Source organism: Homo sapiens, chromosome 8, assembly GCF_000001405.40.
Source record: "Homo sapiens chromosome 8, GRCh38.p14 Primary Assembly".
In the NCBI taxonomy this organism is placed as follows: Eukaryota; Metazoa; Chordata; class Mammalia; order Primates; family Hominidae; genus Homo; species Homo sapiens.
Genome location: NC_000008.11, coordinates 104863954 through 104878580, shown reverse-complemented (window position 1 = coordinate 104878580; position 14627 = coordinate 104863954). Strand labels below are relative to the sequence as shown.

At 36.8% G+C, this 14627-nt stretch overlaps 1 long non-coding RNA gene across 1 annotated transcript in view, besides 2 other annotated features; it reads right to left on the bottom strand.

The window, feature by feature from the left end:
* LOC105375694 (uncharacterized) overlaps nucleotides 1–14627 on the bottom strand; it is a 68330-nt gene that overhangs the window by 17132 nt on the left and 36571 nt on the right. The window lies entirely within an intron of this gene.
* Nucleotides 13627–13686: an enhancer, noted in NCBI's record as "active region_27798". NCBI's record gives its function as "activates an Ori minimal core promoter by ATAC-STARR-seq in GM12878 lymphoblastoid cells {active_cell/tissue: GM12878}" and the evidence as "EXISTENCE:reporter gene assay evidence [ECO:0000049][PMID:35858748]".
* Nucleotides 13734–13934: a silencer, noted in NCBI's record as "peak7137 fragment used in MPRA reporter construct". NCBI's record gives its function as "represses an SCP1 promoter by STARR-seq MPRAs in K562 erythroleukemia cells {active_cell/tissue: K562}" and the evidence as "EXISTENCE:reporter gene assay evidence [ECO:0000049][PMID:32103011]".

The following is a 14627-nucleotide window of genomic DNA, read 5'->3' as shown; positions in this document are numbered from 1 at the left end:
TTAATGTACAAATCTCTGACAAGAACTAGAAGTGCAACCTATCACCCTGAAAAAAGATAAAATAAATGTAGATTTAAAAAGGACTTGAATTTTTTTAAAGCCCTCAGAAAATGTTACCATTTAGTAATGACATTCCCTATTCATTTGACCTCAGCTTGACACACTGAATTGCTCTGAACAGCTGTGGCCAGACACATAAGTTCCACATCTTAACTCTTGCTTTTCTCATTTGTACAGAAATGTACATTAAAAGAATACCAAGGCTAGGGCCAGAGACAATAAAAGAAGCAAAGTCACAAGTAATTATAAAATCCACATCTACCAGTGCAAAGAGGTTACCAACATTTCCCTGAAAACTTTGATAACATTCCACATGGTAATAGCACAAACTTAGAGATATGCCATGCTTCTTACCTGATTCCATGGATTCAAAATGCCTGGATTAATAATACCTGAACTCATGTCTCTCAAATTAAAATAAAGAGGAACTCGTGTGACTGTTGGACTACTAACTGGATTATAATATAATTATAAGGGATGTAAAGTACAGGAGGAAGTATTGGGTTATTTCAAAAATGCTTATGAAACGAGTGGATCTACAAGCTAATTCTCATGCACGTGTTGGCTATATTTTCTATAATGTGATGCCAGAGTGACTCAGCCCCATAAAGCTGGAAGAGAGCAATATACTTTGTGATCTCACTTTTCAGTGATTCTTCGCAGTTCTCAACCCTGGCCACACATTAGAATTACCTGGAAAACTATTAAAAAACACACTGCCCAAGCCTCACCTGGCATCTTTGAGGTTAAACCCAGGAATTGAGATGATTTTAATGTTCATTCAGAGTTGAAAATCACCGCTCTTTTTTAGTAGGAAAAGCAACAGTGCAAATGGCCTTAATAGATACCTTTATTAGTTTGCTACAAAGCCATGATAATACATACTCAGTTGTCTATAGAAATAGATATTTTATTTTTAAAGTAGATAATGAATATATTGATGTAGTCCTTCATCAGAGCTTCACTGAGCACCTACTATGTGCCAGAATTAGCAATAAGTATTATGTGAACAAAAATTAATAAAATACGGTTGCTGGCCTTGGGTGTAAGTGGGAGGAAACACATTTGTTAATTAGACAATTATAATGTTCTGGAATAAATGCTTTAACAGGTCTTATACGGATAAAAATAAAAAATGAATCAACTAATTCTACCTAAAGCAGTCAGAGGGGGCTTCATAGATGATGAAAAAATTAACTTTTCACTGAAGGAAAGTTATATTATGAAAAACTTGAAAAAAGATTTGATGCGAGTTCTAAAAACACAGGCCCCTATAAGCAAACGACTTGAATAGACATTTCTTCAAAGAAGATATGCAAATAGCCAATAAGTACATGAAAAGATGCCTAACATTACTAATCATTAGGGAAATGCAAATCAAAACCACAATGAGCTACCACATCACACCATTTAGAATTACTACTATAAAAATAAAAACAAAACAGAAAATAACAAGTGTTGACAAGGATGTGGAGAAATTGGAACCCTTGCGCACTGCTGGTAGGCATGTAAAATGGTATAGCCTCTATGGAAAATAGCATAGCAGTTCCACAAAAAGTTAAAAATCAAATCACCGTATGATCCAGCAATTCTACTTATGGGTATATACCCAAAAGAATTGTAAACACAGTCTCAAAGAAATGTTATACCCGGGTTTATAGAAGCATTATTCACAAGCTAAACACCGAAACAACCCAAGTGTCCATCAGTAAATGAATGGATAAACAAAATGTGGTATATACATACAATGGAATATTATTCATCATTAATTTTGACATATGCTTCATATAATATGAATGGACCTGGAGGACATTTTACCAAGTGTAATAAGCCAGTCACAAAAAGATAAGTACTGTACGATCCCATTTATATGAGGTACCTAGAGTAGTCAAAATTATAGACAGAAAGCAGAACGAGGGTTGCTGGGGACTGGAGGGAGAAAGAATAGGAAGTTATTGTTGAATAAGTATAGAGTTTCAGTCTTGCAAATGAAAGACTTCTGAAGATTGATGGTGATAATAATTGTACAACAATATGAATGTACTTAATCATTGAACTGTACACTTAAAAATGGTCAAAATGGTAAATACCATGTTATGTGTATTTACTGCAATTAAAATATTGGAAAAAATATGTAGGCTCCCAGTGCTTTCTCAGTAGCAGCACTTTGTCCTCAGTTTGGAAGGTTTTCTTGGGCTACCCAGTGATCCTAAATAAGCAATTCCTCACTGGGGTGATGGTACTGCTCCAGTAGAGTACCAATGAGGTGGACAAGATTAAAATTTAGGGTGGCATTTGGCTGGGCAGGGGTTTTTACACAAGTCTGTCTTGACATACCCACAGCCAGAATGGCATGACTTCAGAGTCAGTTAGAGAAAGCTATGGTTTAAATAAGGCACTCTAAGTATGAATACAAACTCCAGAAACACTGTAAGAAGAAATAGGAGTGACCAGAAATAGTATTAAAGTGAAGGAAAATTGGAAATAGGAAGGTGGGATCTTGGGCAATTGCTGGAAATCCTGGGTGGTGGTTGGGTTAAACCATTCCTCCCATTCCCATTGCTCAGGAACAAGACTTTACTAAGATACTGGCTAGAGTCTGGTATTTATTTCACTGTGTATCCAGCTCCTCATCTTGAGTCACTGGAGCTGGGTCCAAGAGTGTAGGATGGAAGACAAAACTGAATTGGCTGATAAAATAGGAAGAGGTCATGGACAATGACAGAGAAAGACATCTATGGAATTGTTGCCTTTGGAGGACCCTGAAAAATGTTCTTCCAATCTGTAGGAGTCAGTGTTTGTTCATTCAACAAATCATCTTTATGTGCACTTAGTATTTGTCAGGCACAAGAAACAAGGCACAGGCTCTGCCCTTCCAGAGTTTACAGTCTAGTGGCAGAGATAAACACATATAATACTGTAAATTACCAGAAAATGGGAACTATACTTTCTATGTGTATTTATTTCCCTTATCTCCCCAACCCCATCCCTATCACTATTACAACCATTGTTCTTAGAAGTGTTCTGTAACTTAACGAGAGGATAAATGAATGGTTTAAATATCTAACAACAGAACTCTGTATGTAAAAAGCCTGAGTTGAAAGAAAGTCTTTAAAAATCTACAGAACAAAGCTCTTACTTTATAAATGAAAAAGTAGTATTAAGAGAAATTGTAACTTGCTCAAGGTCGTAGCTAGAATCCGTAACTTTTATTTTATCCATGGCTATTTTTGCAAGACCTTTAGATGTTGACAAAAGCCTTTCTGGTAGTCCCAGTGAAAATTTCTCTGTGGGAAAACTTGAACCTTAAGAAACTTACAGAACACCATAAACTACAACAATATTTCTCAAAGTAAGAATAAACAGTAATATATGACTAAGCGGATTTTGAATAAAAGAAGCTTAATAGAGGAAGGAAGACACTAGCCCTCCCAGAGTTTAATGTATTATAAAGCGATAATGATTAAAGATCTGATAAGACTAGATAGACAAAGTAATGGAAGAGAATATGTAACTCAGAAACAGAGCTACATATATCAAAATTTAGAATGGTATAAAATGTGTATCACAGATGAAAAGGCAATTTAAAATTATTTTTAAAGGCATTAGAACATTTTACAATAAAATTTTAGCTGGAGTAAGGAATTAAATGTAGAAGAAAGAATGGCAAAAAAGAAATAAAAAAAGTAAGCAAATATTTATCAAGTATTTGGAGGTAGAAAGGCTTTTATAGCTTATATGTGGTAAAGAAATTCAAAGTGATTGGTATGGTTATAAAATGTTAAAGTTGGAAGGTTCAAAACTTTACAAAATTAAAAGGCAAGCACAAAGAAAATATTTGCAACAAGTATAACAAAGCATTAATACTTCTATGCATTAAAAACTTATAAATTGATAAAGAAAATGCCACAAACCTATAGGGAGGAAACAAGAATGAACAATTTATGAACATAAAATCAAATTGCTAACCAGCACATGGGAAAATACTTTATGTCAAAGGCCATCAAGACATATATTCACCTATGAGCCAGGAGCACGTCCCAGACAACACAATGAAAAGAAAGAAGTAATTACTAGCACAATTTCGCTCAGATTATGAAACCGGAAAATACTCATTTGTTTCATGTAATGCCCTCAGGCCAAGCCTCAAATTCCTTAAATACAAAACTCTTGGGGGTCTACTTACATTGCACTTTCAAAACAAAGTAATTTAATGTTGAAAGATTGTTGAAGGAAGAAATGAATAAAAGAACAAATGTATGAATGAATGAGTTAGTTAAACCTTAGCACCATTTACGACTTTAAAATTTAGACAAAATATATTAAATAGCAGAAGAAAATCAACAAATCGGAAGAAAGCAACAATAGGGAAATTCAAAGTATTTGGGATTACTAAACTATATATTTAGCTAAGACGATGCAGATCAAGCCATGTCTATTCTTTGACTTCAGCAACACAAGTAGTTTTGTAAATAGAGGAGTACATTCTGATAATACAGTAAGTGTGGTGTCTATCAATTATCAAAGAGATCAAATAGTCCTTTTAGGGGTAGTTGCAGAAGGTATATGAATATTTAGCTGGAGGAAGCACCCATCTAATTGCTATTCATTGGAGCAGAAAGCAGAACAATGACAGTTACAGAAGCCGCCTGCCTTTACATTTGATCTAGGATAGGATGACTCTCTAGAAAAAACCTCACCGCTCCCCGCCGCCCCCCCACCGCCCCCCGGAGGTTGCAGTGAGACGAGATCGCGCCATTGCACTCCAGCCTGGGCGTTAAGAGTGAAACTCCAACTCAAAAAAAAAAAAAAAAAAAAAAAAAAAACAGAGAAAAAGCCTGACCCTGACCCAAGAAACAGGAGGCCTGCATTCCAGTCCTGAAGAGAGATCAAGAATAGAATCTTAGGAAACCACAAATCGGACTGTGAAGGAACCAAGAAGGATGATCAAGGAGAAACAGGAGAGTGTGGTCAAAACTGAAAAGAACGAAGAGAGGTAGGGAGTGGTTAACAGAAGGACACATCTTAAAGAAATAAACAAAGATGGTGACTAAAAACAAAGCCATTAGAGAACATAATGAAAACTGTTTCATTAGCGTAGGAGGAGCATCAACCAGGTTCTGTGAACTTTATACATAAAGTATATGAAAGTGAAGAGCTAATGTAAAGGAAGTAAAAACATCAACCGTAAAACATTATTTTCAAGAAGTTTGATGGTAAAGGAATAGTAGGATTGCTTTGAACTAAAATTGGTGAATTTAAAAACTGAATAAATTAATATATGCCAAAACAATACGCATGCATTTACTTGTTATGACAATTAACCCTGGATAAATTGTTCTGATTTTTAACAAATTATTTAAAATTTTATGTTGCATTTTTGGATTCAAAAACTCTCAATATTTCTTAATATATTTATTAGTGTTCTTATATTATTTCAATAACCACAGGACCCTAATGACTAGTAGACTTTTGTACATGGAATCAAATGATTTCCTCTCCCATCCCCATTCTTCAATGCAGCATTATTTAACAATCATTAAGCATCAGTAACTTTACTTCAAGGTCTTTTGGTTTTCTCTTGACCAGGTAACCTTTGGAAATATAACTCTTGCCATGTAAACTTTTGTCAGCCACACCTTTTCACAGAGATATTTCTTCTATATGCCATCTGCCTTGCCAAAAAAGTACCCTTGTTATAAAGTTAATAGGAAGAAGTTTAATTAACAGAAACAATTTATTCCAAAAAAAAAAATTCACAAAAACTAAATACTCAGAAAAGCCCTAGGCTGTTTGTGTCAGAGTTTTAGTTAAATTCTCAGGCAATGAAGGAGAGAAAGAAATGGAAAATCAGGGTGGCTTCAGAAGCCCTTTATGTTGCCGTATTCGTTCCTAAATCTTGCTTTTGTTTTAATTCTTCCACAGTCATCTTTCTTCCTAATCTCCATGGACTCTATTTCTGCCTATTTGCATTCTTGGCAAGGCCACATCAGGGAACCCGGAGAGGGCACTGTAGCTATGCTCCTACTCAGTTAACTTTCCATTTAGAACATGGATAGAGGTTCATCTGGACTTGACATCAGAATGTCAATAGCCACCTCTACTTGATCAGATTTCTATAATGAGAAATGATTCTCTCTCTCGGAGCTTCCCTATCAAATGTTCTCATGCCCAGGATGGGACAAGCATGTTTTGTAACGGGAGTTATTTTTTAACGAGGAGCCAAAAACTTTCCCCTAATCAGAAATATAATTGGATAATTGATCTAGTACCAGGATTCACACTCTCAAAAGTGCAGGGCTTCCCAGGCCTGGCCCTGGGAAGTAGAGAATTCTGAAAGATTTATTCTAGAAAGGAAGTCAACTATATAAACACACTAGGAAGACCAGAATCTAGACATTCTGGTTATGTCATAATGCCATTCTGGCTGGCCAACCTGACCCATACAAACCTTTCAACAACATGTACAGAGACTGTTGGTGAGCTCAACCATGACAGGAAATGGTTCAAGTGTCAAATACTGGCCTAGCCAACCCAAGAAGACTGAACACTGCATTCACAATACCCAGAAATACTACCACATTATGCTGCATCTCTGACTTCCTCTTCCCTCTACCATAAGAATACCCTGGTAGCTGTGGTACATTTAGACCCCTAATCTTTCAACTCCCATCTTCCTTACCTCTAACCTACCTACTTCATCTGACCACAGACCCTAGTTGACAGGTCTGCTTTAGATAAGCTTGTTTAAGGCCTTTCACATTCATGTCCACTTAGCCATTGTTGGCAGATGGACCCATGGAGCATATTAATGCCTAGAAAAATTCCTCCATCAATAACCCATCAGCAATTGTAGTTAAACCCCCTGCCCACCCCCACCTCATTCCTGAATCTGCTTCTATCAATATCCACTTTCACAGCAGCTCTGGCATCCACGCCGGTTTGCATCATTCATCAACAAGCTAAATCCAAAAAAGCCCTGCCAAAATTCTGATGATACCAGATGAGGAACCCTTGTATGTGTAGGGAAGAGCTGGGCTCCTGATGATGTCAGATCCTGGCCCACCTGGAAGTATAAAATGCAAACTCACTGGCCATTAGTACCTTTCACCAGGTAAACACGGGGAAATCTCAGTGTGGTTCTGGCTAAGGGAGCAGCCAAATAAAAGTACATGATTTACTGGTGTCTGTTGCTTTATATGATCCTGGTTCATTCTCACAAGGGACCTTCAGAGCAGCATCAAAACATGTTAAGTTTCAATATTACCCCCAAAAATGTAAAATACAAAATGTTTATATTGAGCATGTTTTTAAACACTGCAATAATAATAATTCAGATATATTGGGTTAAATAAACTCAAATATAATAATAATTTAAAAAACAAAAAGATTTTAAGCTTAAGAATTCCTCCAGGCCTACCTCCCCTTCTTTGGTTTTTTTAACATCTCATTCTGAGGCTTCCCTCTGTCTCAGGCTCACATGACTTTATAACTTAGCCTGCTTGCTCACTCTTTCTCTCTCTCTGTAATCATTTCACTCATCATTTACTCTGTTTGTGTTCTGGTATTTTTTAGGACACTCGGCTCTCCATTCTTCAAGCCTTGCACCCTGCTCAGGTCCCCAATTTACCATGAGAGCGGGGACAAGCAGGTTCCTAACCCTGTTTCTTCCCAGAGCCCACAGCTATTGCTAACTGAATCCTCCCCTTTCTCAAAATAGCCCATAAACTTTGAGTTGGCTCACTTCAGTCCAACTCTGAGCTTTCTGAATGCCGTCACCACCACCCACCTGTCCACCCCACTGTAGGGTCAAATTGCAAAGAAGATCAATCATAACCCTTCTGAATTTCCTCACCCTTCCACTTACCAGCCCTATGAAACTTTGTCCTGCCTCTGCTACCACTTCAGTAAAATATAAATAACATCTGTGTCTAATATACCTACTATTGAGGAGATTGAAATGTTTAAAACACATGTGAAGTATCTATACATAGCAAATCTTCAAAAAATTATTAGCTTCATTTACTATTTCTGCTCATAGACTCTTGCTACCAAAAAAAAAAAAAAAAAAAGACACAAACCAGCTCTTTTAATGTTTGCACTTGGTAATTATTCCAAGATTTAATGTAGTTCAAGAAAATAATGGAAAATAAAAAGCAAGAACTAATAGGTTCTCCTTCAGCTAGCCACCAAGCTCATTGTGTTTTTGGTTTTTGTTTAAAAAAAAATAATCTATTGGGAGGCCGAGGCGGGCGGATCACGAGGTCAGGAGATCGAGACCATCCCGGCTAAAACGGTGAAACCCCGTCTCTACTAAAAATACAAAAAATTAGCCGGGCGTAGTGGCGGGCGCCTGTAGTCCCAGCTACTTGGGAGGCTGAGGCAGGAGAATGGCGTGAACCCGGGAGGCGGAGCTTGCAGTGAGCCGAGATCCCGCCACTGCACTCCAGCCTGGGCGACAGAGCGAGACTCCGTCTCAAAAAAAAAAAAAAAAAAATAATAATAATAATAATAATAATAATAATAATAATCTAAAGAATCTCACACCCGCAAACAATTCCTTCAAAGTTTAATTCATTTGTATTTGTTTCAGGGAAGTAGAACATCTGTCTCCCCACACCTCTCCCTGGCTCCTGCTCCTTTCTCTGGAATGTTATATGTTTTTTTTAAACCTCAGAGACATACCATTAGGTTAATAATTTGGAATCAAAAATGTCTGTTTTATTTTATTTGTTTTCTTCTAGTTTGATAAAGTAGCAAATATTACTTGACTTGTCCCTAAAGTATTCAGTGTTAGATTTCTTTCCTTACCAAGAAAATGGCATATACAGTAATTCTTCTTCTACTGTATATAAATTCCAAATGCTACCTTAGCAGAATTATGAAATAAAAATGAATGCTTTTTAAAGCATTTATGGGGACTGGGGAATAAATGATAGAATTTTCTTATATTTCTTGTATATGCAGATAACAGATACATTTAATGCAAGAAGGAAATAGAATTTTAATAGAATTTTTAACTAAAGATCTTGAAACAAAACTAGACATACATTTTAATTGAATTTCTGGCTCAAATTACAGCAAACCATTATAAATCATTAGGAATCAGTTTTAAAACTGCTTTCACTTTTCTCCGTATTACAAACACAGAGGTAAGCTTTTACAGCTTCAGATAAGTGTTAATAAATTACCCGAATTTCAAAATTAATGGCTGCCCGGCTGCTTTGGGGAGATATCATTGTGTTTCATGAATATTTTGATTTTGTGATTAGATCAAAATGCACTGAATTCCTAAACAGTCATAACCAAGGTCTGCTGATCATAAACTGTTCTTTTTTAATAAATTATATTCCTCACAAATCTGCTGATATGGAATAATTAGAAATTGGTTGCCTGCATTTACTGTAATATTTGCATGACTTTAGATCTCCACCTACTGATCTAGAGGCTGGCAGGAAATGTACATTTTGTACATTTCTAAATATACCTTGCCTGCAGAGATAATGGTTTATATTGTGATGGGAAGAAGGTTTTTATTTGCAAAAAACAAAGAGGTGTCACTTGCCAGTTCTGGAAGACATTGATTAGGCAGTTTATGTCATTTCTATTCAGAACTTATTATTTACAGCTTCCTTGTTTCCTTTCCTTTGTAAGAGATAAAGATCTGTATCTTGTAAACTGCTTAAAGAGTGTCTATTTTGTCTTTTTAGGGAGTCTTGAAATACATTTCATAGAATGCAAGCATCCTGAAACTAAATGTAAACTGAGTAAAATACAGTATCCCAATCTGTAGACTATCTCCAAGGGTAATCTTTAAATTAAGCAATACATAAATAGTTACACTGAGGAAAAAGAGAAAGTCCCCTGTGTAAATCCATCCTTTACCATGTAAAGCACACGTATATAAATTTGAACCTAAACAACCTACACCATGTAATCTGATAATTAAGTGCAGTCATATTGGAGAAAACGCTGACTGCACAAAGACTATTTTTATTCTTTTAACTCTAATGATCTTCTAAAAATTGAGTAACCTCAGGAGCTAAAAGTCGGTGTTTTAGAATATCCCAATACAATAATATTTATGGAACATTTCTTCAAGGTTTAGTGAAAGAGAGGTTTTCAACAACGGGGCAAGAACAACTCTTGATAAAATCCAGAGAAAGTTTCAGGAGAAGGATGCAGAAGAGTTTCCGCAGCTTCTCACCATTTGGAAGCATGGGAAGTAAAGAAGGGGCCCCTGGGAGCATCATTTACTGTAGTAATGATACAACTGTCTTCCTCTGGGCCTTCATAAGCCAGAGCCAAGGAGTCATAAGCCTAGTATTACCACAACACATTGCAATATTTTCATGGGTCTTTGAAGTTAAAATGAGGCTTAAATCGGTTGCCTCACTTGTGGTTTATGGCACCTGGCATTTTTTTTAAAGTGCTTTAAGGCTAGGCCAGTGACAGTTGCTCACTGTTGGGATTCTTTGCAACTCCTCAGCTTACCACAAACACAAGAGGATGTAAAAAGAGTGTCTAGATTCAAATGACTAAGAGTCCATGGCAAGCCTTTCCACGAGAAACATTTAACCTTAATAGAAGACTCTACCAGTCCAACACAGTAAATGCACAAATGTTCATTTGTTTGTAAGAAAAATAAAAGTGGGAGAACATTCACATTTATAATTGGGCAGACAGGCTTACTATCGTGTAGCATGTTAGCAAATATATCTAAGAATCTACCCTAAAATTCTGATTAGATTCCATGAAAGCTAATAAGAAAGAGCATAAACTAAAATTCATTAATTATTGTATATACCTCCTGGAGCTGTTAAGTGGATTGAATGAAACAAAGCATGTGAGATGCTTAAGTGCCTGGAGTATAGTAAATAATAAATACTACAAAACAACACAAAACAAACAAATAAAACCCAATGGAAATACTAAGAATTTTGTAGAGACAAACTTTCAGCATGGATTTTTTTTTGTTTTCATCTGACCTCTTTTACACATTCATTCTGTTTTCAGCCATCTGCAATTTCTACATAAATCTTTATTTATGCTTATATTTGCACTGAAAAACATTCAGGTGAAAATCTTTTTTTTTGTTGTTACTCAAAAGAGAGGGCATCTACATTAGTCATATATGTCAGTATTTGCATAGACAGAAAGTATCTCTATAGCCACAAGCAACTCTGTGCTCTTTAATGTAAGGTGGAATCTGCATTGTAGAAACACATTTTCCCAAAAATCAACCCTGTCATCAGAAAGCTTAATCATGTTAAAATATATTCTTCCCTCTGAATATATTTATGCACATAGATTTATATTTTTAAATTTTTTAGCTAGTTCTATTCCAAATATATGATTACTATTTTAAATAAAGAAGGCTTTTCTAGTAACAAAGAGTGGGTTGCTCAAGAATGATTTATCCACTTAAATATTTATTGAGCATCTGTTCTGTCCCAGGTACTATGCTAGACCCTTGGGATACAGGAATGAATAGGGCCAGGTACCAGTTTCAGGAAGCTGAGTCTATTGGGCAGAGAGAAAACTTCATGTTCAGTTATGGTTTATTGTGATCAGCTCTGTGGTGGAAGCATGCATAGAATACCATGAGGCGAAAGGAAGGCCTCAAGAACAGACTAGATGGTCAGATAGAGAACTTGGAGACTGGGAAAACCAGGAGGGGGAAATTGATGAAGCAGAAGAAAAGATAATTCAGAGGACCAACACTTGAGACACAAAGCAGTATATGTTTGAGTAAGTTCATGTATTTCATTAGGCTGAAGCAAATGATGCCTCCAGGTGCCCTGCAAAGTATAAGGCTCCATTTACAATCCATCGGACCATATTTGGGGAATTAGCCCAATTGGGTCTACCTAGCCCAGGTCTAACTAGGAAGGTCATCCTACTAACCACCTTTCCATAGTCAGTTGCAGTCATATGGAAACAAACATTTCAAACATGAGATATACAAAATGGAATTATTGATCTTCTCACAAGACTTACTTCTCCCCCCAGCCTTCCCATCTTAGTCAATGGCACCACCATCTACTCAGTCCCTTAAATCAGAACTACGGAAGTCATTTTTTACATATATGTCTCCTTCAAATAACCCCCATCCACATCTCCAATACTTTCCCAGGCAATTACAGTTCCAGATTATACCTCAAATAACTGCTTCTCTGCATTTCCACTACACCACTAGAGTTCAAACTACCACCACTTTATGTCTGAAATGTTGCACTAATTTTCACTCAAATCTCTTCACCTCCACTCTTGAGCCTTTAGAATAAATTTTTTCACACAAGCCATTTTAAAATGTTAATCTGATCACATACCTTTGGCTTAAAACCTACAATAATTATTCTCTGCCCTTAGAATCAACTCTAAATCTTTACTCCCCTTCTTCTCTGGTGATACAGTTGCATCTGGACAATAGGTGTCTGGACAACAACTGGAACTTGCCGTTCTTCTAGGATCTAGATGTGACCATATAATTAGGTTCCAATGATGATTCCAAAATGAATGCGAATGATGTGTGCCATTTCCACACCCCAGTCTTCGCACATGGGATGCCCACACCCTTATGCTCTCTCACATTTCCACCAACTAAATATAGCAACAACAGAAGCAATCTTGGAAGAGGAGTATTGAGGATGGCAGAACACTTCTGTTAGCCTACATCTGTGGATGAATCTGCCAAGCAGAGACCCCTTAGCTTTCCCAGACTCTTTTTTGAGAAAGAAATTTACTGCCATCTTGTTTGAGCCATTGCACTTTGGGATCTCTTCTTTCCAGCAACCTGGCTTTCACCCTGATCCACTCACTGATTCTAGTTTATAAGCCTTTCATGACTTGTTCTTAACAACTTCATCTATGGGACTCTCCCTTTGTTCGCAAATGACTTTTTAATGTGACAAGTTCTTTTCTGCCTTATAGCCTTCAAATATTTAGTCCCTTAACTGAATTCCCATTCCCTGTATCTTTGTCCAACCCTCCTTCTCCTGACTTCCATTTATCCTTTAGGTCAAATCTTTAAATAACTCATAAAGGAGGTCTTCCCTGATCCTGGAAAACTAAATTAAGTCTTTTATTTTCTCTCCTATTAATGTCCTGCTCTTTTCTTTCTTTCATTCCTCTCTCTTTCAATAAATGTTTATTGAGCACAGTGTCAAACACTGTGCCAGGGATTGAAAACAAGAGTTTCTGGTAACTAGATAAATAGATGACAGATAGATACATAGATACATGGATAAATACATGGCATGTAGGCTATCAGAAAAGATAGAAACATAAATAAATTAGTGAAATAATTTCATGTTATGGTAAGTACTATGAATGACTTAGAAACTAGTAGAAAAAAACCAGCATTTATTATAATTTCTAAATTATAATTCATTTGTAAGTTTAATTATTCAGTGTCTGTGTATCTCATTATAAGCTTTAAGGGTAAGGTTCTATCCATTTTGATTTCCCCTGTGTATCTGCTGTCTTGTACAAGGCCTGGAATATAGTAAGTGCTCGATAGAGTTTGGCTCTGTGTCCCCAACCAAATCTCATCTCAAATTGTAATCCCCATAATCCCCACTTGTCAAGGGAGGGAGCTGGTGGGGAGTGACTGGATCGTGGGGGCAGTTTCTCCCATGCTGTTCTCATAATAGTGAGTTCTCACGAGATCTGATGGTTTTATGTGTTTGACAGTTCCTCTTTCACATGCTCGCTCTCTCTCTCTCTCCTGCCACCATGTAAGGCATGCCTGCTTCCCCTTTCTCTATGATTGTTAAGTTTCCTGAGGTCTCCCAGCTATGTGGAACTGTGAGTCAATTGAACTTCTTTTCTTTATAAATTACCCAGTCTCAGGTAGTTATTTATAGCAATGTGGAAACAGTCTAATACATATGCTCATAATATAAGCATAAAAAGAGGAAATGCTTCTTGAAGATTTATGCTAACAAGGCCCAGAATTCAGGGTATACATTTGTGACTTCTATGCTTCTATTCCCAATCCTGAACTCACAACTCTGACAAGCATTAGTATTCTCTAGGCACCCTTTTCTTCCAGGCCTGCATATTATCTTAGAACACTTCTTAACACTATTCTGGGACATCACTACTAATTTTCACTTTAGTTTTTATTATTTCCTTTCTTCTACTTGCTTTAGGTTTAGTTTGCTCTTTTCCCCTTAGTATCTTAAGGTAAAGTTAACTATGTGAGATCTTCATTTTTTATTTTTATTTTTTGTGACAGGCTCTTACTCTGTCACCCAGGCTGGAGTGTCGTGGTGAAATCTCAGCTCGCTACAGGCTTGACCCCAAAGGCTCAAGCTATTTTCCCGTCTCAGCCTTCCAAGTAGCTGGATCCACAGGCACACACCACCACACTTGGCTAATTTTTGTATTCTTTGTAGAGATGGGGTTTCGTCATGTTGTCCAAGCTGGTTTCAAACTCCTGGGCTCAAGTGATCCACCCACCTGGGTCTCCCAAAGTGCTTGCTTGTATTACAGGTGTGAGACACTGCGCCCAGCCTATTCTTTTTTAATACAGGCATTTATAGGTGTAAATTTTTCCTTAA